The sequence below is a fragment of the Homo sapiens genome, chromosome 17 (assembly GCF_000001405.40).
Source record: "Homo sapiens chromosome 17, GRCh38.p14 Primary Assembly".
Lineage (NCBI taxonomy): Eukaryota > Metazoa > Chordata > Mammalia > Primates > Hominidae > Homo > Homo sapiens.
This window is the reverse complement of record NC_000017.11, coordinates 75,623,892-75,648,196: the sequence shown is the minus strand read 5'-3', so window position 1 is coordinate 75,648,196 and position 24,305 is coordinate 75,623,892. Positions and strand designations below refer to the sequence as shown.

The following is a 24,305-nucleotide window of genomic DNA, read 5'->3' as shown; positions in this document are numbered from 1 at the left end:
TCCCGGTCAATGAGAATAGCATGTGCAAAGGCCCTGTGGTGGGAGAGAACACAGCATATTCAAGAACTGAAAGACACGCTGAGAACCCAGGGGCAGGGCAGGATGGGGTGGGCAAGATGGCTGGAGACAGGCAGGCTAGAGCGTGCAGGCCCCGGTGCGGCTTTGTTCGGGAAGCTTGCTCTGGTGGCTCTATCTGGATTAAAAATGAGCTCTCACAAGTTAGCAGATTTGAAAAGGAATTTTTATTTCATTTGGTTGTGTCTTTCTCTGTCAAGGATTTGTGAAATTGCTGGCTGGGCCTGTGAGCCTGTTAGAGAACCTTGTTAGCCATAGCTCCTTCCACCTGAGGCAGTGGAGCCATCCTCTCCATGTGCTTTTAGGGTTCTGGTCGGGGAACCCTAAAAACAATAGGGTCAAGGAGCCAGAATTGGTCTCAGACCAGCCTCCCCATCTTACTAGTCTGACCAACCCTAAGCCAGATACAGTATTTTACTAGACTTTTTCCTGATGGGAAAGGAAGACACCAGGGCTTGGCCCCTGAGCCAGAGGGAACCGCGAAGGGGCCCACCACTGGAATGGGGGCAGGTCAGCTCGCCTCCCCTGCTGCCATCTCAGTCCCCAGCAAGTCAGGTCACTCCTCTTCACCCGCTTCACACTGAGTGTTTTCTGTGGAAGTGAGTAAACCAAACACGATGGCAAATAAGATGAGAAGCAGGACAGCGGTGATGAATAAGATAATCACTGCCAGGCCCCCCTGGTCCCAGGGGTTCTGCCAGAACGCATCATTCCAGATTGTCTCTTTGAATACCAGTTGGTCCATGAGAATCTGGAAAAGAGGGACAGAGGACCTGAGTGCAGGCAGCCCTCCCAGGCCCTGTCCCAGGTGCTATGCTCTGCCCGCCGACTCCAGCCTCTGTAGCAGCCTCTGTGAGCAGCCGGCCCGCCTGGCAGCCAGGGGACATGAAAGGGCTAGAGTCTTTGTGCTGGATGCCTGCAGCCAGCAGCAAATGGCATTTCCCCCGCTCTAGATACAGGAGCCAGGACTGGCGCAAGAAGTGGGGCCCTGGATTCTTCCTAGGGGATGCCCCTGGATTCTCCAGTCCTTCTTTCCTGAGTAGCAAGTGTGAGCAAGGACTCTCTCTCATCCCTGAGACCTACTTGGCTAGAATCTAAAAAGCATCATGATAGAGTCTCCCTGTTTTTCCTGCCCCAACTGCCAAACATTTGGGAGGCATTTGAGAGAGCGTATAGGAGCCGAGGAGGGGCCAACTCCAGCTGAGGCCTCGGTAGCCTCCTTGGAGCAGCTGAGAATAGAACTTAGGAGTCCTCTAGAAGCGGAGCTCCTTATCGCAGACTGCAAGCCCATAGCCAGGTGAGGGCAGCCCAGGTGGAGAAGGAGGGAGCCATTACCTGATTCTGCTGGTAGCTGTTCTGGGTCCTACAAGGGCAATTCAGGGTGGTCCTTCAGGCTCACACTTTGTGGAGGGCTGAGCTGAAGAGGCCGCCAGGTGACCAGAGCTGCACCCTGACTCAAAGAAGCAACTGTTGAGAGGAAAAGGCATGAGCGTGGCCAAGCGGCCCTGACCAGACCTTAGTTGCTGTCACCAAACAAACAAAGGTGGGCTAGGGCTGGTTGCCTGGCAACCACGGCTCCCTTTCTGCCTTTCACGTTCCCCCTTCAGCTCCTTTCTGCCCTTGTGTGATGTCATTTTGGGGGTGCTCAGGGCACGTGTTCATGAGTCCCTCCTGAGAGAAGTCAGACTTGGGGTGGACGGGGAAGAGACTGGACCGAGGGCCTTTGCCCCAGGCCATCAGGCCGCCTCACCTGTGGCTGGGCTGGGCTGTCCTCTGTCTGGGTGACGTGTGGACTGCGGACCTGCCCCGAGCTCAGGAAGCCCTGGGGCTGGGACTGGCGTAGGGCTCACTTCCTGTGTTGTGGGGTGAATGATTAACTGCAGCCCTGGCTGGCGCCTGGTGCCTCCTGGAACTGTTTCTGGGGGAAGTGTTGCTCCCCCCCTGAGGCTTCCCATTGGTGCCTTTGTCTGCTCCCTGGGCACGGCCTCAGCAACATTGTGTGGTTGGTTTCTGCCCACTGGCACAATAGGGAAGCTGGGAAGAGGGGATCAAGCCTGTGCCCTGGTGCTTGAAACCTAGTGGCCACCATATACTCCTTTAAAAGCTAGGATGTGAGGGCCCGCTATGGCCAGGAACCATGCCAGGCACTGTGTGTCCAGTTGTGAGATCAGAGAGGCGGGCCCTGCCCTCCAAGGGCTTCCCTTCTAGCCCTCGGGTGCTTATCCCAGCTGGTAAAGATCTAGGAGCTTTGAGAAATGCCCAGGCCCCACCTGGTACCACTTATATCAGTCTCTGGGGTTGCCAGGATGTCGTATTGTTTACACATCCCCAGGTGATTCTCCCCAGGTGTGGCCAGGGTTGGATGACAGATGGAGGCAGATTTAGAACAGTCGTTCTTAACTATCATGGGCGTCACTGACCCGGGTTACCTGATGTTTTCTGTTTCCTTGTGTGAAACTTACTGACTAAGGCCCTTGGCATGCTGAACGCTCACAGCAGTGGGCCAGTCTCTAGCTCACCCTTTGCGTGCAGCTCCGTCAGTTAAGTCAGATGCTTATCAAGAGTCAAGTGTTGGTTCCCAAACCTGTTCATGGCAGTTGTACTTGTAATTACATAATTGAATTTAACATCCCGGGAACCAATGAAGCAACAATAATAGCTGAAACCCCAATTTTACATGTGGGGAACGGGCACAGAGAGGTTAAATAACTTAGCCGAGGTCATCAGCTAGTAAGTAACTGAGTTGGAGTTTGAATCCAGCAGCACACAGTCTGAGCGCTGAAGCACCTGTGCTGCACCTCAGAGCGAGTGGAGAAAGAAATTCTTTCTAGAAATACCTATTGACTACTTTGGGATGACTTTGGAATCACTCAGATAATGTTCCTGTTGAAAAAGATGCAGACATGATAACTAAACATCAGGGACATTTTGTAAAAACCCAGAAGGTTTTCACACCCAGCTTCCTTTGCCTTTAAGTTCCAATGACTTTAAGTTTTTGTTCTGCTTTAAAGAAACCAAAACTAGAAAATAACAATCCAGGAGCTGTGGTTGGCAAGCCCACACTCAACCAAAACTAGAAGATAGCAATCCAGGAGCTCTGGTTGGCAAGCCCACACTCAGAGAAAAGGCCAGGAAGGCCGGCCAAGGAAAAGGTGTATGTTTCCATTTAATGTGAGATATGTAAAAAAGTAATAGATGTGTAGAGAACTTAGGTGTTCTTTAACAAAAGTTGCTTTGACCAGCTCTTTCAATTAACTGCCGGCCCCAATTGGATAATTTTTTTTTTTTTTTTTGAGGCAGAGTCTCACTCTGTAGCCCAGGCTGGAGTGCAGTGGTGTGATCTTGGCTCACTGCAACCTCTGTCTCCCGGGTTCAGGCGATTCTCCTGCCTCAGCCTCCTGAGTAGCTGGGATCACAGGCGTGTGCCACCATGCCCGGTTGGGAGGAAACTTTTATATACTCTCTGCCAAGTTTTTCTAATGAGATTCTTGTATCCGTGGCTTTATTGTCATTTTTTATTTTTATTTTATTTTTTTTGAGACAGGGTCTTGCTCTGTCACTCAGGCTGGAGTGCAGTGCCACTGTCATGCCCCAGGCAGTCCTCCTGCCTCAACCTCCACAGGAGTAGCTGGGACCACAGGTGTATGCTACCACACCTGGCTAATTTTTTTTTATATTTGTAGGGACAGGGTCTCCCCATGTTGCCCAGGCTGGTCTCAAACTCCCGAGCTCAAGGATCCTTGGCCTTCCAAAGTGCTGGGATTACATGCATGTGATATACTATGCTGGTCTGTTGTTGTTTTTTGTTTGTTTGCTTGAGACGGAATCTCACTCTGTCGCTCAGGCTGGAGTGCGGTGGCGTGATCTCAGCTCACTGCAACCTCTGCCTCCTGGGTTCAAGCAATTCTCCTGCTTCAGCCTCCCGAGTAGCTGGGACTACAGGCGTGCGCCACCACACCCGGCTAATTTTTTTGTATTTTTAGTAGAGACAGGTTTCACCATGTTGGTCAGGCTGGTCTTGAACTCCTGACTTCAAATGATCTGCCTGCCTCAGCCTCCCAAAGTGCTGGGATTACAGGCAGGAGTCACCACGCCCATCCCTATTGTAGCTTTTAATCAGGCATGATGTACAGACAGTGTGGCACGCAGGTCTTCAGAGTAGAGTGCAGCCCTTTTGAGGAGCCGAGAGCAGCCTGCCCTGTGGCGGAAGCAGAGGGCACAGCTTGGGGTGGGCATGAAGAGGCTGGCGACATGATTGTGGGGACCACTTAGGATGCTGCTGCAGTGACCACAGGTAAGCATTGATGGTGGCATGGTCCAGGATGGCACAGTGGCGGGAACAGAGAGGTGGTGACCAAGTCAGACGTCCTCTAAACCTGAAACCAGCCTGATGGCTGCCCCTTCCATGGCCCCCACCTGTCTTCAGGCCGCCCAGGTCTGCAGCATCTTTCTGTTTATTCTTTCCCACAGTGGGGCAACTGCTGCCACCTTTCCATGCCCATCTTCCCCAGGGAAGACCGGCACAAGAAGCTGCCTCTTAAAGGAGCGGGCCAGGCTGCTGTCGGAGAGCAGGTCTGGTTTGTTAATCTCAGTGGGTTTGAAGCCTGTGAAGGAGTTGGCCCGACAGCCGGGCCTGGTGTGTGCCAGTTGGCCAAGGAGCAGGGAGGAGTGAGTCCTGTGAGGGCAGGGACCGAATCCTGTGCGGACTCAGCAGTTGTTCACCGCCTGCCCTAGAGCGGCCATTCGGCCTGTCTGTGCCCAGGGCTGTCTGTGGTTCCCACCTCTCCGCAGCTGGGCTGGGGAAGCAGAATATTTTCTAACAAAGGGCCTCAGCCTCAGCCGCCCTGGAGCAGGGCTATTCTTATGCTGATGAAAACTGGCTTATGGAAAAGTCACCCAGGAATTGGGCTGCTTCCCTGTTGGCCATCTCCCAAACAGAAGGCTTCCAGGGACCCTCCAGCCATTGGTGCTGGGAATGAAAAATGCAGGGTTTCCTGTCCGTCCACTACCCTGTGTTTTTCTTCCGGGAGGGGTGCCTCATTGGGCACCACCCCAGCTCTTACCTGTTGGGTCCCACCCAGTCCTGCGAAGGTTATTTTGAGACAGAGTTTGGGGTGTGGGTGTTTTGGGTGTAGGGTTGGTCGATGGAGGATAATGGATTAGAGCCTTATCTGTACTGCAACCAGGAGGCCAAGTTCTGGGTCTCAGAGCCCTGGGTGTGGTAAGCAGAGGCTCTGGAGCCAGATAGGCTGGACTCAAGCAGGCCCTGCTCCTTTTCAGCTGGTTGAATGTAGACAAGTTACCTAACATCGCTGAGGCCCAGCTTCCTCATCTCTAAAATGGGGGTAATAGTGGTATCTTCAACATGGAGGTACTGTGATGAGTAATTGAGTTTATCTGCACCAAAATGCTGAAGACAATGCTGAGTATGTGTAACTCCTCAGTAAATTTTAGCCATCTTCATCATCATCTTCATCCTCCTCCTCATGATCATCGTCATCATTCTGAATCCTATTCTTTGGAGGGGGCTGAGAATGGACAAATTTTTGAATTTCTTTTCTTTTGTATGAAAACACTTACTCTCTGGGTCTTTAACCTAAACCTGTCAGACAAGTCCGTGGACACTAGAAAGTGAAACCAGAGGGTGAGAGCTTCCCCTCCCTGCCTGCTATTGCCAGTGTGGCCTGGACTGCCAGCTGGAAATGGCGGGGGTGTGGCAGGGGCTGGGATCCCCTCTCCATGACATGTTTCCCAGGTAGACAGGGCTCTGCTCCCAGGTGGCCAGAGCACGGGTCACGCAGGCCAAGATGATGGAAGCATGTGAAAAACACAGACTTCTTGAGGCTCTGGGGAAGCCCCGGGGAGGCACCTCGGGATGCTCTGTCTGGACCCATTGGCATTTCTGGAGCCATGTGCCTCCCCTCCCCTCACTCCTGGGTTCGTAGCTCTACCTGGAAAGTTCTCTGGAAGAAAAACTCAGCTGAAAGGAGGGGGTAAGGAAGGAAAGGTGCTGCTTCTCAGCAAGACCAGTCTTTAAAATGGGTCCCTGTTGCCCTGGTTGGTCCCATGTTTAGAGGGGCAAATAATAACGGGTCATGGTGATGGGGCTCTAAAGATATGCCCAGCACCGAGCTGAGTGCTAGACATAGGTCATCTTAGTTTATCCTCACAGCAAACCCCAGGAAGCAGTACCAGGATTTGCTCCATTTCACCAAGGGGGAGTTCGGCTTAGGGAAGTTGAGTCACGCAGCTGACAGGGTGAGGGTGTGAGCCCAGACAGCACACAAATGGGGGAGGGCCACAGGGTCAGGAGGCAGGTTACAGGTGACATTAGGGCCTTCCTCTGGCAGTTTGTGAAGACCCACTGGTCTGAGTCTGCTAGTGTGGGATGTGCAGGCCAAAGGTGCAGGCAGTTGACAGAGTAAAGTGCTGTTCCTGAGCTTAGCTCCTGCCTTTGGGCAAACACAGTCTCTGCCACTCTGCAGAGTAGTGCCTCAGCCTGGCAGAGCTCATTAGCAGCTAATGCATGACAGGAATTTCATGGCACCGTCCACTGGTCCCGTGGTGTTAACCGCCTGTGTGGCATGCTTCTCTGCGTGGTTTTCCAGCTTTCGTGGGCACAGGGAGAGCAGAGGCCTGGGAAGGACGGGCACCAGCCATACCCCCTCCCAATGTACAGAGCCCAGCCCAACCTCAGGGAGTCCGGCACCGCAGAAACACGTAACACAAAAGCTTTTACTTGGAAACTGGCAAATACTGGACTAGAATACTGACATGCTCACGCTCTGGCGGGAGCTCGGATGCAGAAGCTATTGCACAAAGCCCCTCTGATTGCCTTGCTCCTCTTTGGCATGTATCAGCAGAGCCCCAAGGGCCAATTGCCCACAGGTGGGGACTGTTCTCCATCAAGGTATGGGGACCCCTACTTCCTTGTTTTGTTAAAAAGTGCAGGTAGGCGAAGAAGCCCAGGCAGTTGACCCAGTCTTTGAAACAGCTGACTCCCCAGCACCCAGTGTCCACTGGCAGATGAGAGGTTTGCACCTATACCAGCCCTTGTTTCCTTGGTAGGGCTCAAGTTGTCAGTGTCCAGGTACCTGGGCTGGGCCAGAGCTGGGGCCAGGGGAGCCTGGTCTTGAGGGGTAAGGGCTGCAGGGCCAGGCTGATGGCCTGTGTCATGGCATTGGCCATCTCCTCTCCAGCTTCTCCTCAGCCATCGCCCGTCCGTCATGGTGGTGTCGGCTGCACCTGGACCTTCCTGCCTCTCCGCTCAGGGCAGCAGCAGTGAGTGCAGCAGCAGCTGCAGGCTATCAGCAGCAACAGCAGAACAGTAGCTGGAGGGCCGGGAGAGAGCACGGGACTCAGGTTGGGGGAGAGAAAGGATGCCCACCCTCCTCCCAGAGAAACCCACTGCCTGCCAGGGTCTTTCCCCCACAGGTTTGGTGGAGGTCAGAAAGATCCGAGAGGCTGGTGAGAGGTGCGGACGGTCCCCATGCCAGCCGCCAGGGCCAACCTCCTCCATGTTGTGTCTTCTCTTTCACTGCCCAAGCCTGGCTCCCGTCATCCCCGCGTTTGGGATCCCGGGGTACTGCTGGGCCCAGTCCCCAGCACCGCCCATCACCCAAGCAGCATATCAGAGGATGAGGGAAGTCCCTTGGCTTCCCCCAAGGGACAACTGGTTTTCCTCCTTGATCCGGCAGACACCCGCCACCTCTGCCAGCCCTCTGGCTGGCACCATGGTGTGGTCTCTCCCAGATGCCAGGGAGAGCCATGGGGTGCTGAGTGCCCCAACTAACCTGTGAAAAGGATGATGACTGAGAAGGCCACGATCTCCACGGGCTCAGCCTGGGGCAGTCTCTGCAGCTTGAGCAGCAGCCTCTCGCCCACGGCGCGCATCTCCTGCACGAAGTCGGTGGCAGCCATGCCGCGCTGGCTTCCTGTTGGGGCTCCTGCCGGGCTCTGCTGGGGCAGAGAGAACACCTGGAGCCTCCACGGCTGGCCCCACACTCGTCGCAGCACCGAGATTCCACCCTCGCACCCATCCGCAGCCCGCAGAACAAGTTTGTCAGGTCTCACACATTGCACCCCTGGTGACTTCCACCTAGTGGTGGCCCTCAGTCCCCACCCAGCTGACACAGCTCAGGGTGGAGGAAGCCGGTGAGGACAGTGAGACCAAGGGCTTGCTTCGGGGGCTGCCGGCCAAGGCGGCGGCTGGTGGTGGTTTCTGGCTTCGCTGTTCCATTCCCTTGTCTTGAGGTACCACTACTGGGTTTTGCCTGGGTGCTTGGGACTGGCACAGCTCCCTCGGGGTGGGGAGACTGGGATAGGATGCCAAGCTGGTACTCTTGCCTTCCATCAATGTGGGGACAGAAGGAGCAGGTTCTCCCGAGAGCAGGTTCATGGGGCTTCTGGCCAGGGTCAGTCAGAGGTGAAAACTGCCCCCCTGTCCCCCAGGCCCCCCAACCTCTCCCACCAGCCCAGTTTCTACACTCATGCCTGTTCTGCCAGAGGGGGAGGCCGCACCGTGTCCCTCCAGGTTTTGCCAGGGTTTCTGTCCTGTCTGTTGGGAGGGGGTCAGGAGGCCCAGGTTGCTCAAGCCAGCCCCTCCCCTGCTGGCGTCATCTGTTTCTCTAGCCTGACCAGGAAAGTCCTCTCCACTCCCACCCCTGCCCCAGGAGAGCCTCTTCCTGTCTCAGGGTGCCCAAGAGGCCCAAGGTGCCACTCCAGAAGGCTTTCCCCTTCTGCCTCTCCTGTGGGCATGAGGGAGCTGGTGCCTCTTTAGAGAGGAGCCAGAGACAACCTTGTCCCAACCCAGCCTGATCCAGTTCACCAAGGCAGTTGCTCTAATCCAGGGGTGGTGGTGGGGACAGGTGGCCAGGGGCTGGTGCCAGACCTTTGGCTGTAATTATCGTTGCCTTGTCCCAGGTCTCAGCCGGTTCTCGCTGAGATGGCTACGTCAGTGAGGCCAGTCACTCCCGGTGCCGCTGCCTTGGCAGAGCTGGTTTAGAACCACCGTGAAGGTCATCGAACGGGGCCCTCCACCCTGCAATTGGCCTGCGGCCATCCTTGAGGCCATGTGGTCTTTGCATGAGCACCCAGGATGGTGAGGAACCTCCGCCTGCTGAGGCAGCCCACCCACTGCAGAAGGTCGGACTCCCTGCTGGCCCCCAGTTAGTCCCACTTGTGGTCACTTAGACCTTGCCCCCTCTTCTGCCTCGTAGCCCTTCAGGAGCAAGATGGCAGCCGGCATGTACCTTCTGGATTTCCTTCTCTGCCAGGGGCCTGCTCTAGTGTTTTCAGCTGCTCCTCCTTGAATGCCACCTCCACTTCTTCCTTTTGTGACATGAACAGGTTGCTTCATGTCTCTGATATGGAATGAGATGCCCGTGTTTTGAGGCTATTGGGAGGACTGACCATCTAGCAGCACATTGTAGACAGCCATAGGGGGGTGCCCGGCACACGAGAATGCCCCCCCGGGACGGGTCTCACTGGCTTTGGGGGCTGTCACCCCCGTGCACCGTCACTAGCACCCCCAACACCTTTTGGGTGTCTGTCCTAGGGTGTCTGCGGTGTGTGCCCTGAAGGAAGGTAGGCAAGCTGGAGGTGGGGAGCTATGTTTTTGTTGTTGGTTTTGGTTTTCTTTGAGATGGAGTTTCTCTCTTGTTGCCCAAGCTAGAGTGCAATGGCATGATCTCAGCTCACTGCAACCTCTGCCTCCCAGATTCAAGTGATTCTCCTGCCTCAGCCTCCCGAGTAGCTGGGATCACGAGTGTGCGCCACCATGCCCGGCTAATTTTTGTATTTTTAGTAGAAACAGGATTTCACCATGTTAGCCAGACTGGTCTCGAACTCCTGACATCAGGTGATCCGCCCTCGGCCTCCCAAAGTGTTGGGATTACAGGTGTGAGCCACTGCGCCCGGCCTGGGGAGCTGTTTTTTTAAGTGATGATGAGGGTAGCAGGCAGAAGATGGCTCCGTGGAAAATTAGATGAGTTCTTGTCAAAAGCCGTGGGTTCCCTGAGTTAGATCCACCCAGCTTCTCACACCTCACCTGGAGTGAGTGCGTTTCTGTGGAGGTGAGGATCTCAGTTTTCAAATGTACTGAGAGGCATAGGGTCCTAGAATGCTATAGATCATCCGCTCCCGCCTCCTTCCTTCTATACGTGGGGAAGCTGAGACCCGAGAGAGCAAGCAACTTCTCTGAGGTTACACAGCAGGACAGGGCCCCAGCCAGCACCCCCACTGGTGCCCCACGCTGTCTCTCCATGGAGGCCTGTCTCCAGCTTAGACCAGCAAGATAGCCAGGAGCAGCCCCGCTGAGGGTACTGCCCGTGCAGTGGGCTCAGTACAGGAGCCAGGGCCCGAGAGCCCCCTGGAAGCCAGCTGGCTGTGCTCGGCCAGCCCCAGCCCACATTTGTGGATCTGAAGCTGCTTTTATCAGCATATCACCACCAGGCCGGGGCCACACCAGGCTCTTTGAGACTACCTGGAGTCCTTGTCACCACAGGTACAGGTCTTGTGAGTCTAGCCAGCCTGAGTGTAGGACTGAACCCTCTGGTCAGACTGAATGGGACATTCTCTCTGGCCAGGTGGAGCAGGCTTGCACAAGGACAGTGGTCCCCTCTTGGTTCCGGGACCTCCGTGCCATCCTCACGCCCCAGCTTTCCAGGTTCCCTCATTCTTAGAGGGACGACAATGCCGACAGTGTCCCTTACGGGACAGTTTGCGCGTGGTTCAGGAGCTGGGCTGCCTTTCTCCCCTCCCTCTCTGTCTACACTTGGTCTGGCGTTTTCAGCCTGACTGGCACTGTGCCCACACGGCCTAATGTAGCCCAGCAGAGACACTCCTTCAAAGAGGGAGCGGGCAGGGAGAGCTTTTTCGCTTGTGCCACACCCAGAGACCCAGGGAGAGATTGCAGGGGGCACTTTTCCTTGTGAGCGAGAGACCTGGGGCTGTGCTCACCAGAACAGGGAGGAGGAAGGTTGGACTGAGGCTGAATTTACTGGTGCAGGAAAAGTGGGGTTTGTTGCTGAGAAGCTCTGGCCAGCCTCCTCCAGGGGCTGCAAAGTGGGAGAGCTGCAGACTCATGCCGGGTGGACCCCGGCCTCCAGCGGGGAAAAGTGTCAGTTCCCAGCAGCAGCAGGCTGCGGCTGTGGACAGTGTCATAGCTTTGCGCCCAGGGCTTCCCTAGGGGGCTGACTGGAAGCTGAATTTGCCAGCCAGGCATGGCCAGCCTCACCCAGCCCCAGGGTCTGACCCAGGGGTACTCACGGTATCCTGTCACACAGTGAGCAGAAGTAGGACCGTTGGACGTGGCTGTTCTGCCCCCAGAGAGCTGGAGAGGAACCCCGGGACCCCCTTTGTTTTGCAGTTGATATCTTGTCATTTGGAGCGTAAACCCGCGACTGAACCTTCATGGCGCAGGTGGGGGAGCTGAGGGGTCCTGTTCTCTAAAGAGGAGGAGGCGCATTCCAGCCGGTCCCCAGGTGGTCTTCCCAGCGGGCTATTTAAAGCCAGGCCAAGGAGTGCCTGACACTTGGTGCCCAATATAACCAGCAGCCGTCAGGTGACTGTGTGGCATGTGCCCCAGCCGCTGCTCCTAAGGGAACCTTAGTGTTCCCAGCTGTGGCGAGGGGAACATGGGAGCTCTGAGGCTGGCCACCTCTCCTCCCCTTTCCCTTCCTAGGTTTGGCAGGAGGAAGGCAGGGAAGCCCAGGAGGGCTACTGATGATCCCATATTTTTCCCGTCTTTCTATCTCAGGTTCACCCAACTCCTTCCAAAACCACACTTCCCACCTGCGAACCAGGGCAACCAGTCCCTCCCAACCCCACGCTTGGTAGTGCCCACCTGCGAACCAGGGCAACCAGAGTCCCTCCCAACCCCACGCTCAGTAGTGCCTTGGTTGGAGGCTTCTCAGGGTCCTCAGGGGTTCCTGAGTGGCTGCCAGAGCAAGTGGTGGCTCCCTCTGGCCTTAAGAGGGAGTGTAGCCCAGCTGCCACCAGGCCCTCCTGCTGCCCAGGCTGCCCAGCCAGCCCTGCTTGGAGCCTTCAGAGGGTGTGCCCTGGCTGCAGTAGCGGTCAGCACAGGGGAAACACTCAGGGCAGAGAAGGCTGGCAGAGCCGGAGGGATGGGAAGCATTCCTTTATGTGGCATCTCCTGGCACACGGAGCCTTGCAACAGGCAGGCATCCCGCAGGCCAGACAGCTGCCACTTGGTCCCGAAGCTTCCCTGTTTCCTCCTCGCAGAGCTGATACTCCAACCCCAGGCGCCTCACGAGGAAGGGCTGGCAGCAGGCGGCGTGTTTGAGACTGATAAGCGAGGTGTGTTGGCAGCGCGGGGCCCCAGAGGGCTGCTTGCTCTGCCCTGTTGTTTCGTCATGGTGGGTTTTAGTCACCCTTGCCCTGTTGGGCATTATCTCGTTTGAGGTCCACCTAGAAGGAGGCATAACTGACACTTGTGGGAGATTTGCAGGGTCCTGTGCCTGAGCAGCCGGGGGGGATGCCCCTATTTGTGGCACTGAGCCTTTGGGTGACTCCCCTTTTTGCCCTGGCTCCAACTGGAAGTAGAAAGTGGTGCTTGAACCCCTGGCAGGCCCTGCTCCTGTAGCCACCCAGGGCGGGAGGAAGCGCTTTCTGCTGCTGGTGTTAGAAACAGTAGGCGCTCTTTCTGCAGCTACAGAAGCTGGCTGTTCATTCACCCTCCGTCCTGGTTCAGGGACTGTGTTGGAGAGACCCTGTCCACTCGTGTCCTGTGGATGCAGGACAGGGATCCCCACCTGCCTGCCTGGGGCGTCTTGTGAGTGACAGCCACTGGGGTCTCCAGGCTCACCGCTGTGCCCCGACCCCGACCTGGCCTGACTCTTCCCTACTGTGCGCCTCCCAACACCGCAGGAGCTTGTCTCCCCAGACACCAGCCCCAGCCGAAGCCCCCAGCCTCTGCTGAGCTGAGAACACTTGGGCTAGTCCTTGGTTTCCACATTTCCCTGGGTCATTGTTTTTGTTTCTCACTAGATGCCAGCTTGTTTGCTTTGAGGAAAACATATGGGGGGTGGTGGCTTTAACGCTGGCTTGAGGACAGGGCGGCAGGAGGAGTAGGCAGCCTCGGCTCACGGGCCCTGCCCAGGAGGGCTGCTCTCAGTGTTCCCCAAAGAACCAAACAGCCGGGTCCTGCTTCCTTAGGGGTGGTGTCATGTCAGCCTGTGCATCACGGTGGCACAGCAGAGGTCCCGGTTGCCAGCGTGGTCCCTCCCAGCCTCACTTCTGTGACCTTCTGCCCACCTGAGCCTGAGTTGAAAGTCAGTCCTCCAGGTTCCTGGTTTGGTGTTCAAGGCTCATCACCAGAGGGAGATCTAGGAGTTTATGGGGTTCTAGATGGGCCCAGGGAGGAGGACCCAGGCTGAGCCGTGAGCTGAGAACACCAGCAGTGAGTGGGCCAAGCCCCTGAAAGGACACAGATGGGCAGAGTCCTGCTGCATCCTGGGGGCGCCGCATGCTGGCTGGGCAGACCCTGCGCTGACCTCGACAGGGCTCTGCCCTAATCCTGGGAAAAAGGGAGGCTCAGCAGGCCGGCAGCCATTCTCTCCCAAGCTGGACAGCCAAATCCCTCTTTTAAGCCCCCTGAATAAAAGAGCTGAAATGAACTTGCAGAATAAGCAGGCCCTCGGGGCCCCTCTGCTGCACAGCAGGCGGAGCAGGAGGCGCTCTGAGCAGAGCCCCCAGCCCTCCCCTAGTGCAGGGTCCCAGCAGCAGGGAGAGTGCAGGTGTGTGCAGGAGGCTGGCTGACTTCCCTGCAGGGAAGCGACCCAGCATGTCCCCGAAGACCTCTCCGTGTTTATGGTAGACTGTGGCCCTTCACCCTGGGGGCAGGGGACCCTTGCTGCTCCCTCCCTGTCCCCCCTTCTTCTGTGGCCATTGCCACTCACCTGGGAGCTCAGGTGTTGGGGGCTGAGCAGCAGTGCCCCAGCGCGGAGCCTCCACGTGCTGTCCTCGTACTTCCTTCGTGGGCGCCGCTGCTCCCCTGGGCGCCTCAGCCCAGCTCCTCTGCTGACAGCCAGCTGCTGTCTCTGCCTGGCTTTTTTGTTGTTGGTCGTCCTGGAGATCCAAGTGTCAAATTACCGTCGCGAGGGGGAGCCCGAGGAAGCCCTGCTTGGGAACTTGTCCTCCAACTTCATGTCCCGGTGCCTCACCTCTGCCCTGAGAGCGCTGCTCAGGGACAAGACAAGCTCCCTCTCTCCTCCTCCTTCCTCCTCCTCTCCCTCTCCCCGACTCCCACGCCGTGGGCTGGGCCTGGGTTGGGAGCTGAAGAAAGAAGTCGGCTCTCTGCCTTCCTGGCCAGGAGGACCCTGGGGAGGCTCCACCTGAGCCTGTGGAGGGGAGTCCTGCAGCGCTCTCAGGTCTGGGGCACCCACCCTGCCCTCAGGAAGGCCACCCCTTCTGTCCCTCTGGCCACTCCCTGGCTGGTCCCTCCCTCTGGCCTCTCTCAGGAACAACAGTAAACAGTGGGGAGCTGGTGGCCCTCTCAAGCTGAGCAGGAGGCTTTGCAACCAGTCCCTGGGGAGGCCCTTGTGCCGCTCAGCATCTGAAGGCGTCTTGGGGGAGAACTTGGAATCCTGAGTGACCTGGGAGTGGCCTGCGCGCCCGGCAAGGCGCCTCATGTTCCTTGTGAGGTGAGGGCCTTCTGCTGGGGCTGTGACCGCACTCCTGGCCCAGCTGTCAGGGCAGGGCTCCAGAGTCCAGGGGCCGGGCCCTGTGACATTTGCCTGGTTGTGCCTCCCAGCAGGCTAGGCTGTGTGGAGAGAAACCGACCCCAGCCCCGCTGTCAATGGAGCTCTTTGAGTCCGAGCACAAAACCCCAGTGAGTCAGGGCCTGAGGAGGGCAGGGGGAGGAAGCCAGCCATGTGGTCACACCACTCGGATGCCAGAGCCTCCCAGAGGCTGGACAGGCGGCCGCTGTGCGGGCGCACGGACTCCTGGGGATGAACCATTTGTTGCATTTACTCATTGGAGCAGAGTGGGGGCAGGAGCGCCCTCTGGTGGCCGCCTCGGCTGTCCCAGCCCAGGTCAGGCTTCAGAGCTGCATTCACTCAGCTAAAAGAAAGTCAGCCAGGCCCTGCTTCCTTACCGGGGTGTTGCAATCAGCCTTGCATCCTTGAGCCTGCGCCTTGGGGTCGCAGCCCCTCAAAGGGCTTCTTGCAGCCGCAGCAGTGCTCACACTGGGAGGAGTTCTAGTTAGAGCAGTTAATGCCAGCTATTCTTGTCCCTGGGATGTGGCACCCCAGACAGCCCTGCCTGTGTTCCAGCATCTCCTCTTGGGCTTCCCTACCCTGTGCCACGTTCCTGGTGGCAGGAATGGCTGTTTATAAGGAGCCTGAGAGAGCTATGGCCCCTCTTGCGGCCTCTGCAGCTGCCCCAAGGGTCGACAGCCACCCCCATGCAGAGGGAACAGAGATGCGACAGAGCCTCGTGGGCCAGCCAGAGGCTGCTCCCTGCTCCCAGCATGGGCAGAGGCCGCTCACCCCAGGAGGGCTGCAGCAGGGTTGAGACAGAGGAAGACGAGAGGAGGACTCCAGGCGAGGCTGCGTCTCCCTGGCTAAAGGCCCCACCTGTGACACCCTCACGGGTTGATGATGGGACATATTACTACACAGCCGTGCCTGCCTTAGCAATGCAAATACGTTTTGAGAAATTTAACTTGTCATTGTGCGGTCACAGAGTATACTTAGGGAAATCAAACAGCAATTCCAGGGAAGAGAAGGAAAAAAATATCAAGCGGCACAGCCTCCTACACACCCAGGCCATGCGCTACAGCTTGTTGCTCCTAGACCACAAACCTGTACATCACGTTACTGTCCTGAGTACCGTATGCAGTTGTAACACAGTGGTATTCACATATCTAAGCACACATAAGCATAGAAAAAGTACAGTAGAAATACAGTGTTAGAATCGTAGGGGACCACCATTGGCTGTGCAGTCATTCCATGGGGCATGACTGTACTGTAATGCACTTCAGACATCACCTCAGCCATCTTCGCTCAGTCCGTGAGGGCTGTGCCTTTCTGCACCATCTTACTGACGGGAATGCATGGGCTTTAGGAGGTGAAGTGTGTCACCCAAAAGACACCCTTCATGGCAGAGCCAGCATCTACATCCCATTGCCAGAGGACAGAGGGGAGGAGCAGAGGAGTAACTGGACAGAGTGGGGTTCACATCCTGCTTCCCGGGAGACCCCCATGTGTTACGTGACCTTGGGAAAGTTGGTTCACCTTATCGTCCTCATCTGTGTAGTGGGGAGAGCCAAACGATGCCTGGTGCAGCTTGGATGAGATGAGGGGTGTGGGGCTCCCGGCATGGTGCCGGACGCGGCAGTGCTCGCTCAGCTAGCGATTCAGGCTCGGGTGAACAGACGCTGGCCGACTGGGCTCTCCGCCCCTCACCTCTGCGGTGCTGCCTGCTCCAGGTGCCGCCATGCCGCCATTGCCAAGTACTTCGGGGATGCGCTGCCTGCCTGCGCCAAAGGCTGCGACCACTGCCAGAACCCCACGGCCGTGCGGAGGCGGCTGGAGGCCTTGGAGCGCAGCAGCAGCTGGAGCAAGACCTGCATCGGGCCCTCCCAGGGGAACGGCTTTGACCCCGAGCTGTATGAGGGAGGCCGCAAGGGCTACGGGGACTTCAGCAGGTAAGGGGCCGAGAAGCCAGGGCTCCAACCCGCTGGAATTGCCTGGCATTCCCTTGGCGCCAGGGCCAGACCAGAGGTGGCACGATGCCGCAATCCCCCCTTGAGCTGGTAGGACATCAGGGACATTGCCGTTCTAGCAGCAGCACACATGGGGAGGGCAGAGCCCAGGCCAGGGCCACTCACGCCTGGCCTGTCCCTAGGTATGACGAAGGTTCTGGAGGCAGCGGGGATGAAGGCAGAGATGAGGCCCACAAGCGGGAGTGGAACCTCTTCTATCAGAAGCAGATGCAGCTGCGCAAGGTGAGGGGAGGCACTCAGTGGCCTGTGTGGGGCCCCTGGTGGCCCCCTGCTCGCACCTCTCAGCCCCTTCTCTGGTGCTGGATGGGACTGTCCTGCGGCAGGGCAGGACGCCTCATGGGTCCTTCATGTTGTCCTCCAGGGCAAAGACCCCAAGATAGAAGAATTTGTACCCCCAGGTCAGTACAGAAATGTTCCTGGAGGCTTGTGGGCTCTTCCCGGGGCATGGAGGGAGGATTCTCATCCGGGCTGTGGGGGACCTCAGAGCGCAGAAGGTGGAGCGAAAGGACCAAGGACCACCCCCCCCCCCCACAGATGAGAACTGTCCCCTGAAAGAGGCTTCTAGCAGGAGGATCCCCAGGCTGACTGTGAAGGTAAGAGACGGGCAGCTCCTCAGCCACCCGCCGGGGCCCTCCCCCAGCCGCGAGGCCATGCGACCAGTCTCACTGTCCTGTGCCAGGCACGGGAGCACTGCCTGCGGCTTCTGGAGGAGGCGCTGAGCAGCAACCGCCAGTCAACACGTACCGCTGATGAGTGAGTTCCACGATCACTGGGCTGAGGAGCACTCCAAGCTCTCGTTCCCTTGGAGACTGCAGGACCCTGTCAACCCTGGCCTGTTTGGGCCACCTCTCCCCAGATTGTACCTCTCCTACTCCAGGGGACTGCCCCTACAACCCCACCAGGGCCAGGCATGGCTACAACTTAGGTGCTACCAGCAGCTGCTGAGGGACAGTAAGCCACAGGGTGCTCAGAGAGCCCTAATCAGAATCCCTGTGCCCAAGGCCTACCCCACCAGGCCTGGAGTCCCGCAAGAGCTCAGCAGGGAGAAGCCCAGGCCCACCTGATACCTTGTGCCTGTTACCTTGCACCCACAGAGCTGACCTCCGGGCCAAGGCCGTGGAGCTGGAACATGAGACATTCCGGAACGCCAAGGTGGCCAACCTCTACAAGGCCAGCGTGCTGAAGAAGGTGGGCCTGGTGCAGGCGGACCCAGGGTCGTTGCAGGGGCCCCTCCATACTCTGACGCAGAAGCTGTCTGCCAGCTCTCTGGGCTCAGGCAGCCCAGAACTCACCCTCCCCAGCCCACCCCAGAGACAGTTTATGGGGGTAGAGCTCCATTCTCCACTGGCTGGACATGTTTCTAGCCAACCCTGTGAGGATGGGAGGCCTAAAACTTGCCCAGTGGTCAGTTGCCTGTGGCCACTGGCCACAGAAACCCACTTGTAGTGCCTAGTAGAAAAGGAGGGCTAGGTGGGGCATGTCAGGAGGAGCTGGCGGGTGCCACAGCCTCCCTGCCTATCCCTGCCCAGGTGGCCGATATCCACAGAGCCTCCAAGGATGGGCAGCCCTATGACATGGGAGGCAGTGCCAAGAGCTGCAGTGCCCAAGCTGAGCCCCCGGAGCCCAATGAGTATGACATTCCACCAGCCTCCCATGTGTACTCGGTGAGCTGTGGCCCAGTGGCCTCCAGACCTGTGACCAGGAAAGGCTTCACTTCCCCTCTGCCCTCAGGGGTGCACCTCTTGCCAAGGCCTGGCTCCCCACCAGGGTCCTGCCTGCCTCTTCCCTCCCACACTCCTGAGAGCCCCGTCCCAATGTGAGTTACTGCTCCAGCCAGCGGTGCCCTCAAGGGGGCCTAGTGGGCTGAACCTCCTCTCCTCCTGCTCACATTTACAGCTCAAACCCAAGCGGGTGGGAGCTGGTTTCCCCAAAGGCTCCTGCCCGTTCCAGACGGCCACGGAACTGATGGAGACAACTCGGATCAGGGAGCAAGCCCCCCAGCCCGAGCGGGGAGGCGAGCACGAGCCCCCGAGCCGGCCCTGTGGCCTCCTGGATGAGGATGGGAGTGAGCCCCTCCCTGGGCCCAGAGGGGAGGTCCCTGGAGGCAGCGCTCACTATGGGGGGCCCTCCCCTGAGAAGAAGGCAAAAAGTTCCTCTGGGGGCAGCTCCCTTGCCAAGGGCCGGGCTAGCAAGAAACAGCAGCTCCTAGCCACAGCGGCCCACAAGGATTCTCAGAGCATCGCCCGCTTCTTCTGCCGAAGGGTGGAAAGCCCAGCTCTGCTGGCATCAGCCCCAGAGGCAGAAGGTGCCTGCCCCTCCTGTGAGGGGGTTCAGGGACCCCCGATGGCCCCAGAGAAGTACACAGGGGAGGAAGATGGAGCCGGGGGACATTCGCCTGCCCCTCCCCAGACTGAGGAGTGCCTCAGGGAGAGGCCAAGGTAAGGGTACAGGTAGTCATAGAATCTTCTGGAACCTACACGGCAGCATCCCCTTTGCTCACTGGGCGTCTGAAGCTCAGAGCTCACCCCTGAGATGGGCTCTCCTAGGCCTCCTGGGATGAGGGAGCCACCAGGACCCAGTGCTGTGATGCCTGCTCTTCCCTCTACCAGCACCTGCCCGCCCAGAGACCAGGGCACCCCTGAAGTCCAGCCCACCCCTGCAAAGGACACATGGAAGGGCAAGCGGCCTCGATCCCAGCAGGTGCCGGCAGGGATGAGTCTGTTGGGGAGGAGAGAAGGGCTGTGGGCGAGGCCAGGAGCTGTTGTGCCCTGCTCAAGGGGTCAGGGAAAATCAGCTTTCTTTCCACACCTGGCAGCAGATGGGCTGGGCTGGAGAGAGGCAGCTGGTGCGGGGACCCAGTCTTCTGGAGGAGGGGAGCAGGCCAGTGGAAGGGAGCTCAGGAGTGACCCTCTGCTGTGGCCCTTCTCAGGAGAACCCAGAGAGCCAGCCTCAGAAGAGGCCACGCCCCTCAGCCAAGCCCTCCGTCGTAGCTGAGGTCAAGGGCAGCGTCTCGGCCAGCGAACAGGGCACCTTGAATCCCACGGCTCAAGACCCCTTCCAGCTCTCCGCTCCTGGCGTCTCCTTGAAGGAGGCTGCAAATGTTGTGGTCAAGTGCCTCACCCCTTTCTACAAGGAGGGCAAGTTTGCTTCCAAGGTAGGGGGAGTGAGTGGGCTCTGCCTTCTCCCATGCCTGGGGTATGTGGGTGTAGTGGGGGTGGGAGGCAGGGAGTTTGAGCCCCAGAACACAGTGGGCCTAGGGCCAGCCCCACGCCCGTCCTCCCTGGGGCCTGCCTTGCCGTTGGGTCATGGCCGTGGGTTGCTCTGGGGGTCAGGGCAGGGTCCTGCTCTCTTTTTTTTTTTTTTTTATCTCTGTCGCCCAGGCTGGAGTGCAGTGGTGCGATTTCAGCTCACTGCAACCTCCGCCTCCCGGGTTCACGCCATTCTCCTGCCTCAGCCTCCCGAGTAGCTGGGACTACAGGCACCCGCCACCACGCCTGGCTAATTTTTGGTATTTTTAGTAGAGTCAGGGTTTCACCGTGTTAGCCAGGATGGTCTCGATCTCCTGACCTCATGATCCGCCCGCCTCGGCCTCCCAAAGTGCTGGGATTACAGGCGTGAGCCACTGCGCCCGGCCACCAAGGGTCCTGCTCTCTGCTTCTCTTCTCCCTCTCCCTTCCAGGAGTTGTTTAAAGGCTTTGCCCGCCACCTCTCACACTTGCTGACTCAGAAGACCTCTCCTGGAAGGAGCGGTGAGCGCTGGCATTGCCAGGGCCAGGAGGCACTTGGGAGGGTGGTCTACAGGGAGGAGGCTAACGCTCACCTCCTCATGCCCCCACCCTGAATCTGTAGTGAAAGAAGAGGCCCAGAACCTCATCAGGCACTTCTTCCATGGCCGGGCCCGGTGCGAGAGCGAAGCTGACTGGCATGGCCTGTGTGGCCCCCAGAGATGACCAACTGCTGGCTGGGCAGGGCCCGCGTCCTCCCCCAGATTCTAGCATGGGTCATCCTGGGCCTCACCTGCTGATGCCAGGGCCATCGTCTTTTCTCAGTCCTTCTCCTTTCCAACCATACTTGGCTTTGGGGATGACCCCAGACACCCCCTGAATCCAGGTCAGAGGTCAGCCCACCTTTCTTTCTGCTTGCAAAGCCTATAGACCCTTCTCAGAGCGGTCCTCATGGCTGGGTTTTCTGGGACACATGTCGAGGACAGAAGGTGGAGGGTGGTGGAGCTGCTGCTGGAAGAAGGGGAAGGAAGAGTGGCCCCTCCCCGAGTTCTAAGTCAGGATGAGGCCCACCTGTCCAAGGTATCGGAACCTACCCAGGGGACCCTCAGATCCTCCACCCACTCCCCCATCCATTACGATGCCAGCTTCCAGCCTTGCCCAGGTCAGAGCTGTGGCAGAGGAGAGGCAGCCAGGCCCTGTTCCTGCTCAGCTCCTGCTCAGGAAGGCCAGGCCTGACAGATGTTTGGGAGAGGAATAAAGTTGTGTTGTTGTGGGGCATGCAGGCGTGCACACAGCCCTTTTCTCCAGGGAGTTTTATTTCCTCAGCAGCTGTTTCTCCCATGCCTGGGCTTGTGCTAATGTGGGGCCTGGGCGGAGCCTGGGGTCGGGTGGGCATCTCCCTCAGACTGGGCAACCTCAGGTGCCCCAGCCGAGTTCCTGCAGCCCGCTTTGGCCCCAGGCCGTCCTGGAGAGGGTCTGGCTGTTTTCTTTGCCTGCTGGTGACGTGATAGCAGCCCCTGCCTCATGGCCTGCATGTGGGCCGGCTGGGCTGTGCTGAGGCAGGTTCTAGAACAGTGATCTGATAGCATCCAAGGCAGACCATGTGGGTGAGACTTGGGCCGGGGGAGGCCTCATCCTCTTCTCTCCCCGGCCTGCACTCCTCTCAGTTGATGCTGGGCCACTCAGTGCAAGAGGCACTGCTGTCTATCAGGAAGACAGTGGTGTATAGCAGCTCCTGGGCCTGCCCAGAGAAAGGCCTGTTACAAGAGGGCTCCCCAGCCAGCCCCTCGCCTCTGCCCCGGCCCACAGCACTCCGGAGCAGTGGGCATCGGCCTGGGCCTGGGCTCCCACTGCACGCCATGCTGGGGCAAGGCCCTCACATCCACCTTCGCAAGGTGGCCAGAGGCCTGGCCACTCACCTGTGGCAGCTCAAACCAGATGGTCTGGGGGTTGTCAGCTGAGCCATAGTTGACTTCCAGGCCAGGGGGCCCCTTCTCCTCCAGAGGGCTTAGCAGGTGGAGCCGCTGCAGGCTCTTCAGGGCAATGCGGCAGTACAGGCTCTGGGGGCAGCAGAGAGCAGGGCTGGTCTCCTCTCCGGGGAGGGGTCATTGTGGGTGATGGAACAGCCCAAGGGTCCCTAGGCCAGTGCTGAGGCAAGAGCTGTGCCCACCTGGGAGCTGGGGTCCATGAGGATGAGATGCTGGCGGTTGAGCCCCAGGAGAGTGGGTCCGGACAGGGCCTGCATGCTCACTCGCAGCACCCCATAGACGGTGTAGCCGAAGAGGGGCAGCTGGCTCATGGCCTCTGCGGGTGGAGAGGGTGCAGGCAGGAAATCTGACTGCTGGGGCCCTGGAACCTGCTCTGCTTGGTCCCCCAGGTCAGCTGAGAGGGACAGGGCAGGCGCAGACCCCTCCTCGCCCCTCTACCTGCATTCCTTCCCTCTTGGCCTCCAGCCCCCACCCAGCGGTCCCCTAGTCCCAGACCCACCAATGAAGCTGATCTGTGCTTCCTGGGGGCTGTGTCCTTCCAGCCGTCTCAGCTCCTGACCCATCAGGTTCTTGATGGAGGCCGTGTTCACCTGCCGTTGCAGCTGCTTTGGCACGTAAGCTAGCAGGTCCTGCCTAGGATGTGTGACCAGGGTCAGTTTGGCCCCTGACCACCTGGTACAGGGCTGGGCATACAGCACGTGCCAAATAACCAGTGCCTATTGTGGGCAAGACTAGACATCCATACACATGAATGAGGTGAGGGTCCTGCACCAGAGGAGCTCGGGGTGGGGTGGAGAGGACAGATGTTCACAGGCCCCGCTGCTCCTGGCCAGTCCATTTAGGGCCAGGAAGGGTACCAGTCAAATGGCCTTGACCTTAGAGAAGGGGAGGGGCTTAGGGGCGGGAGGTGCCTCCACTCACCCTGAGGGGGTATTCCTGTTGGCCTTGCTGAGGTGCTGCAGGGCGGCCAGCCTGGCGAGCTGCGCGTCTGCCTTGGCGCTGACTGGCAGCTTCCCCTGAAGGTAGTCCCACAGCACCTGTGCGGGGAGCACGGTGAGGAGGGCAGCGGTGGTCCAAAGCCCCCCATCAGTTGGTGGCTCTAGAGGCTCAAGCCTCCTTTTGCCACTGTCACCCCCCAGCCACCACAGACCCACACCCTTGTGGGGAGAGGGGCTTGGAGGTCGCCCAGGCAGGAAGCCGCGCCCTCAAACTGCAGCAGCAGCTCGGAGGCAGGCAGGCTGACCTGGCTGTAGTGGGTGCTGATGTAGGTGGAGTTATCGAAGTGCAGTGGGGTCTCCCAGTGGAGCCGCCGGCTGTGCAGGCTCACGTCCTGGTCCACTACCACGCTGTTGAGGTATTCGGCGGGCTGCAGGGGCCGCACCAGCTGGCCTGCATGGGGAGCCTAGGTCCACTGCTGCTCAGACCACACACACCCGGCCCTGCCACCCCAGCAGAAACCAAACCACCTCACCCCTGGGCAGGGGAGTGGCCCCACCGTGAGGCTCCGTCCCCAAGCTTACTCTTCTCTTTGATGAGGAAGAGGGCGAATTCCTGCACTTCCTGAGGCTCCGTGATACCCATTTGCCGGCACAGCTCCTCCTGCACTTCTGCTGCTACCTGGGCATGTGGACAGACTGTGATGAGGGGGAGGGAGGCTGGGGGACCCAGAACTGATGCCCAAGGCCTCCTCCCTTGGTGGCCCCCAAGCTCACTGTGAAAGTCTGGATATTCGTCCTATAATCCACACCCCCCGGCAGGTGAATAAGAAGCAGGCGAATCGCTTGTCCTTTCTGCCAAGGCAGGTTGCAGGGTCAGTCGGCCAGTGGTCTCCTGTAGGAGACACTCCCCACCCCAGGGTGTCCCACAATGCCCATCCGCCACCCCCAGTACCAGGAAAGCCTTCATTTCACCCGGTGGGGGCATCCGCCGGCGCCCCCCATATTTGACTGTGCGCTGGAGGTGCTCCTGGCTGCTCCGGGCCAGCTCTGCAGAGAAGCCAGCCTGGGGTTATGAGATGGCCATGTCTCCCCAAGCCCACCAAGTTCCCAGTCCTAGAAACCCCTGCCTCTCCTCCATCTCCCCTTCCCACGGGCACCTTGGCTGGGGCCTGAATCCTGCAGAAACTTGGTCAGGTAGGGCATCAGCCTGGTCGACGGGGGGAAGAAGCCTGTGAGAAGGCTGAGGAAGCTCCAGCCTCGAGTGCAGTGTTCCCTGCAGGGCAGAGCGCTCGGGCTTCAGGCTGGCCAGGCCACAGTGCCCAGCTGCCCC

The 24,305-nt window shown here is 58.6% G+C and overlaps 4 protein-coding genes across 51 annotated transcripts in view, besides 6 other annotated features; 1 reads left to right on the top strand and 3 right to left on the bottom strand.

Annotated features, from left to right (window-relative positions):
* The window catches only part of RECQL5 (RecQ like helicase 5), a 40,301-nt gene extending 18,958 nt beyond the window's left edge, over nt 1-21,343 (top strand). For 2 of the 14 annotated variants that reach the window (NM_004259.7, XM_047437085.1), the window contains 12 exons: nt 16,529-16,747; nt 16,948-17,047; nt 17,187-17,223; nt 17,360-17,418; nt 17,505-17,578; nt 17,920-18,013; nt 18,355-18,489; nt 18,722-19,263; nt 19,435-19,525; nt 19,755-19,979; nt 20,505-20,574; nt 20,675-21,343. In NM_004259.7, the coding sequence (NP_004250.4) occupies nt 16,529-16,747; nt 16,948-17,047; nt 17,187-17,223; nt 17,360-17,418; nt 17,505-17,578; nt 17,920-18,013; nt 18,355-18,489; nt 18,722-19,263; nt 19,435-19,525; nt 19,755-19,979; nt 20,505-20,574; nt 20,675-20,775 (1,747 nt within the window). In that variant the 3' untranslated portion in view covers nt 20,776-21,343. Of the gene's footprint in view, nt 1-4,097; nt 4,370-8,188; nt 9,220-12,318; nt 14,739-14,848; nt 14,927-16,528; nt 16,748-16,947; nt 17,048-17,186; nt 17,224-17,359; nt 17,419-17,504; nt 17,579-17,919; nt 18,014-18,354; nt 18,490-18,721; nt 19,264-19,371; nt 19,526-19,754; nt 19,980-20,504; nt 20,575-20,674 lie in introns of those variants that run through there. The other 12 variants (XM_047437087.1, XM_047437086.1, XM_011525485.3 and 9 more) reach the window with 12 other exon arrangements.
* On the bottom strand, nt 223-1,946 carry ERLN (endoregulin). The gene is made up of 2 exons (NM_001162997.2): nt 1,411-1,946; nt 223-826 (listed from the first exon to the last, which is right to left on the bottom strand). The coding sequence occupies exon 2, from the start codon at nt 818-820 to the stop codon at nt 632-634; it is 189 nt and encodes a 62-aa protein (NP_001156469.1). The 5' UTR covers nt 821-826; nt 1,411-1,946; the 3' UTR covers nt 223-631.
* Nucleotides 1,628-1,707: an enhancer, noted in NCBI's record as "active region_12771". NCBI's record gives its function as "activates an Ori minimal core promoter by ATAC-STARR-seq in GM12878 lymphoblastoid cells {active_cell/tissue: GM12878}" and the evidence as "EXISTENCE:reporter gene assay evidence [ECO:0000049][PMID:35858748]".
* Nucleotides 1,875-2,019: an enhancer, noted in NCBI's record as "145 bp enhancer 181 fragment used in the MPRA reporter construct; PK_construct_261". NCBI's record gives its function as "activates an SV40 promoter by MPRA in HepG2 cells {active_cell/tissue: HepG2}" and the evidence as "EXISTENCE:reporter gene assay evidence [ECO:0000049][PMID:23512712]".
* Nucleotides 1,941-1,954: a transcriptional cis regulatory region, noted in NCBI's record as "HNF1 motif; enhancer activity is reduced when this motif is scrambled". NCBI's record gives its function as "necessary for full MPRA enhancer 181 activity {active_cell/tissue: HepG2}" and the evidence as "EXISTENCE:site-directed mutagenesis evidence [ECO:0005528][PMID:23512712]".
* Nucleotides 4,814-5,108: a silencer, noted in NCBI's record as "tiled region #461; K562 Repressive non-DNase unmatched - State 5:Enh". NCBI's record gives its function as "represses a minimal TATA promoter and a strong SV40 promoter by Sharpr-MPRA in K562 cells {active_cell/tissue: K562}" and the evidence as "EXISTENCE:reporter gene assay evidence [ECO:0000049][PMID:27701403]".
* Nucleotides 6,791-14,763, bottom strand: SMIM5 (small integral membrane protein 5). Of its 8 annotated transcripts, none has more exons than XM_047436530.1 (4): nt 13,995-14,763; nt 8,966-9,437; nt 7,869-8,031; nt 6,791-7,406 (listed from the first exon to the last, which is right to left on the bottom strand). In XM_047436530.1, exons 3-4 carry the CDS (start codon nt 7,993-7,995, stop codon nt 7,300-7,302), a joined length of 234 nt encoding a protein of 77 aa, XP_047292486.1. In that variant the 5' UTR covers nt 7,996-8,031; nt 8,966-9,437; nt 13,995-14,763; the 3' UTR covers nt 6,791-7,299. The 8 variants fall into 8 exon arrangements, 7 of the variants coding, with proteins under 7 accessions (XP_047292486.1, XP_047292487.1, XP_016880434.1 ...); XM_047436531.1 differs by having other exon boundaries at nt 9,327-9,437; XM_017024945.3 differs by lacking the exon at nt 8,966-9,437 and adding an exon at nt 11,035-11,132 and having other exon boundaries at nt 11,344-14,137.
* Nucleotides 14,331-15,010: an enhancer, noted in NCBI's record as "H3K27ac-H3K4me1 hESC enhancer chr17:73629267-73629946 (GRCh37/hg19 assembly coordinates)". NCBI's record gives its function as "activates a minimal SCP1, AML or CMV promoter by ChIP-STARR-seq in naive H9 embryonic stem cells {active_cell/tissue: H9 hESC(naive)}" and the evidence as "EXISTENCE:reporter gene assay evidence [ECO:0000049][PMID:30033119]".
* Nucleotides 15,011-15,691: an enhancer, noted in NCBI's record as "H3K27ac-H3K4me1 hESC enhancer chr17:73628586-73629266 (GRCh37/hg19 assembly coordinates)". NCBI's record gives its function as "activates a minimal SCP1, AML or CMV promoter by ChIP-STARR-seq in naive H9 embryonic stem cells {active_cell/tissue: H9 hESC(naive)}" and the evidence as "EXISTENCE:reporter gene assay evidence [ECO:0000049][PMID:30033119]".
* Nucleotides 21,348-24,305, bottom strand: part of MYO15B (myosin XVB) — a 39,050-nt gene continuing 36,092 nt past the window's right edge. For 25 of the 28 annotated variants that reach the window (NM_001395058.1, NM_001309242.2, XM_017025120.3 and 22 more), the window contains 10 exons: nt 24,133-24,248; nt 23,928-24,022; nt 23,750-23,827; nt 23,558-23,654; nt 23,281-23,426; nt 22,959-23,074; nt 22,537-22,670; nt 22,220-22,353; nt 21,969-22,109; nt 21,348-21,790 (listed from right to left, as the gene is read on the bottom strand). In NM_001395058.1, coding sequence (NP_001381987.1) covers nt 21,713-21,790; nt 21,969-22,109; nt 22,220-22,353; nt 22,537-22,670; nt 22,959-23,074; nt 23,281-23,426; nt 23,558-23,654; nt 23,750-23,827; nt 23,928-24,022; nt 24,133-24,248 — 1,135 coding nt within the window. In that variant the 3' untranslated portion in view covers nt 21,348-21,712. Of the gene's footprint in view, nt 21,791-21,968; nt 22,110-22,219; nt 22,354-22,536; nt 22,671-22,958; nt 23,075-23,280; nt 23,427-23,557; nt 23,655-23,749; nt 23,828-23,927; nt 24,023-24,132; nt 24,249-24,305 lie in introns of those variants that run through there. The other 3 variants (XM_017025123.3, XM_047436788.1, XM_047436789.1) reach the window with 3 other exon arrangements.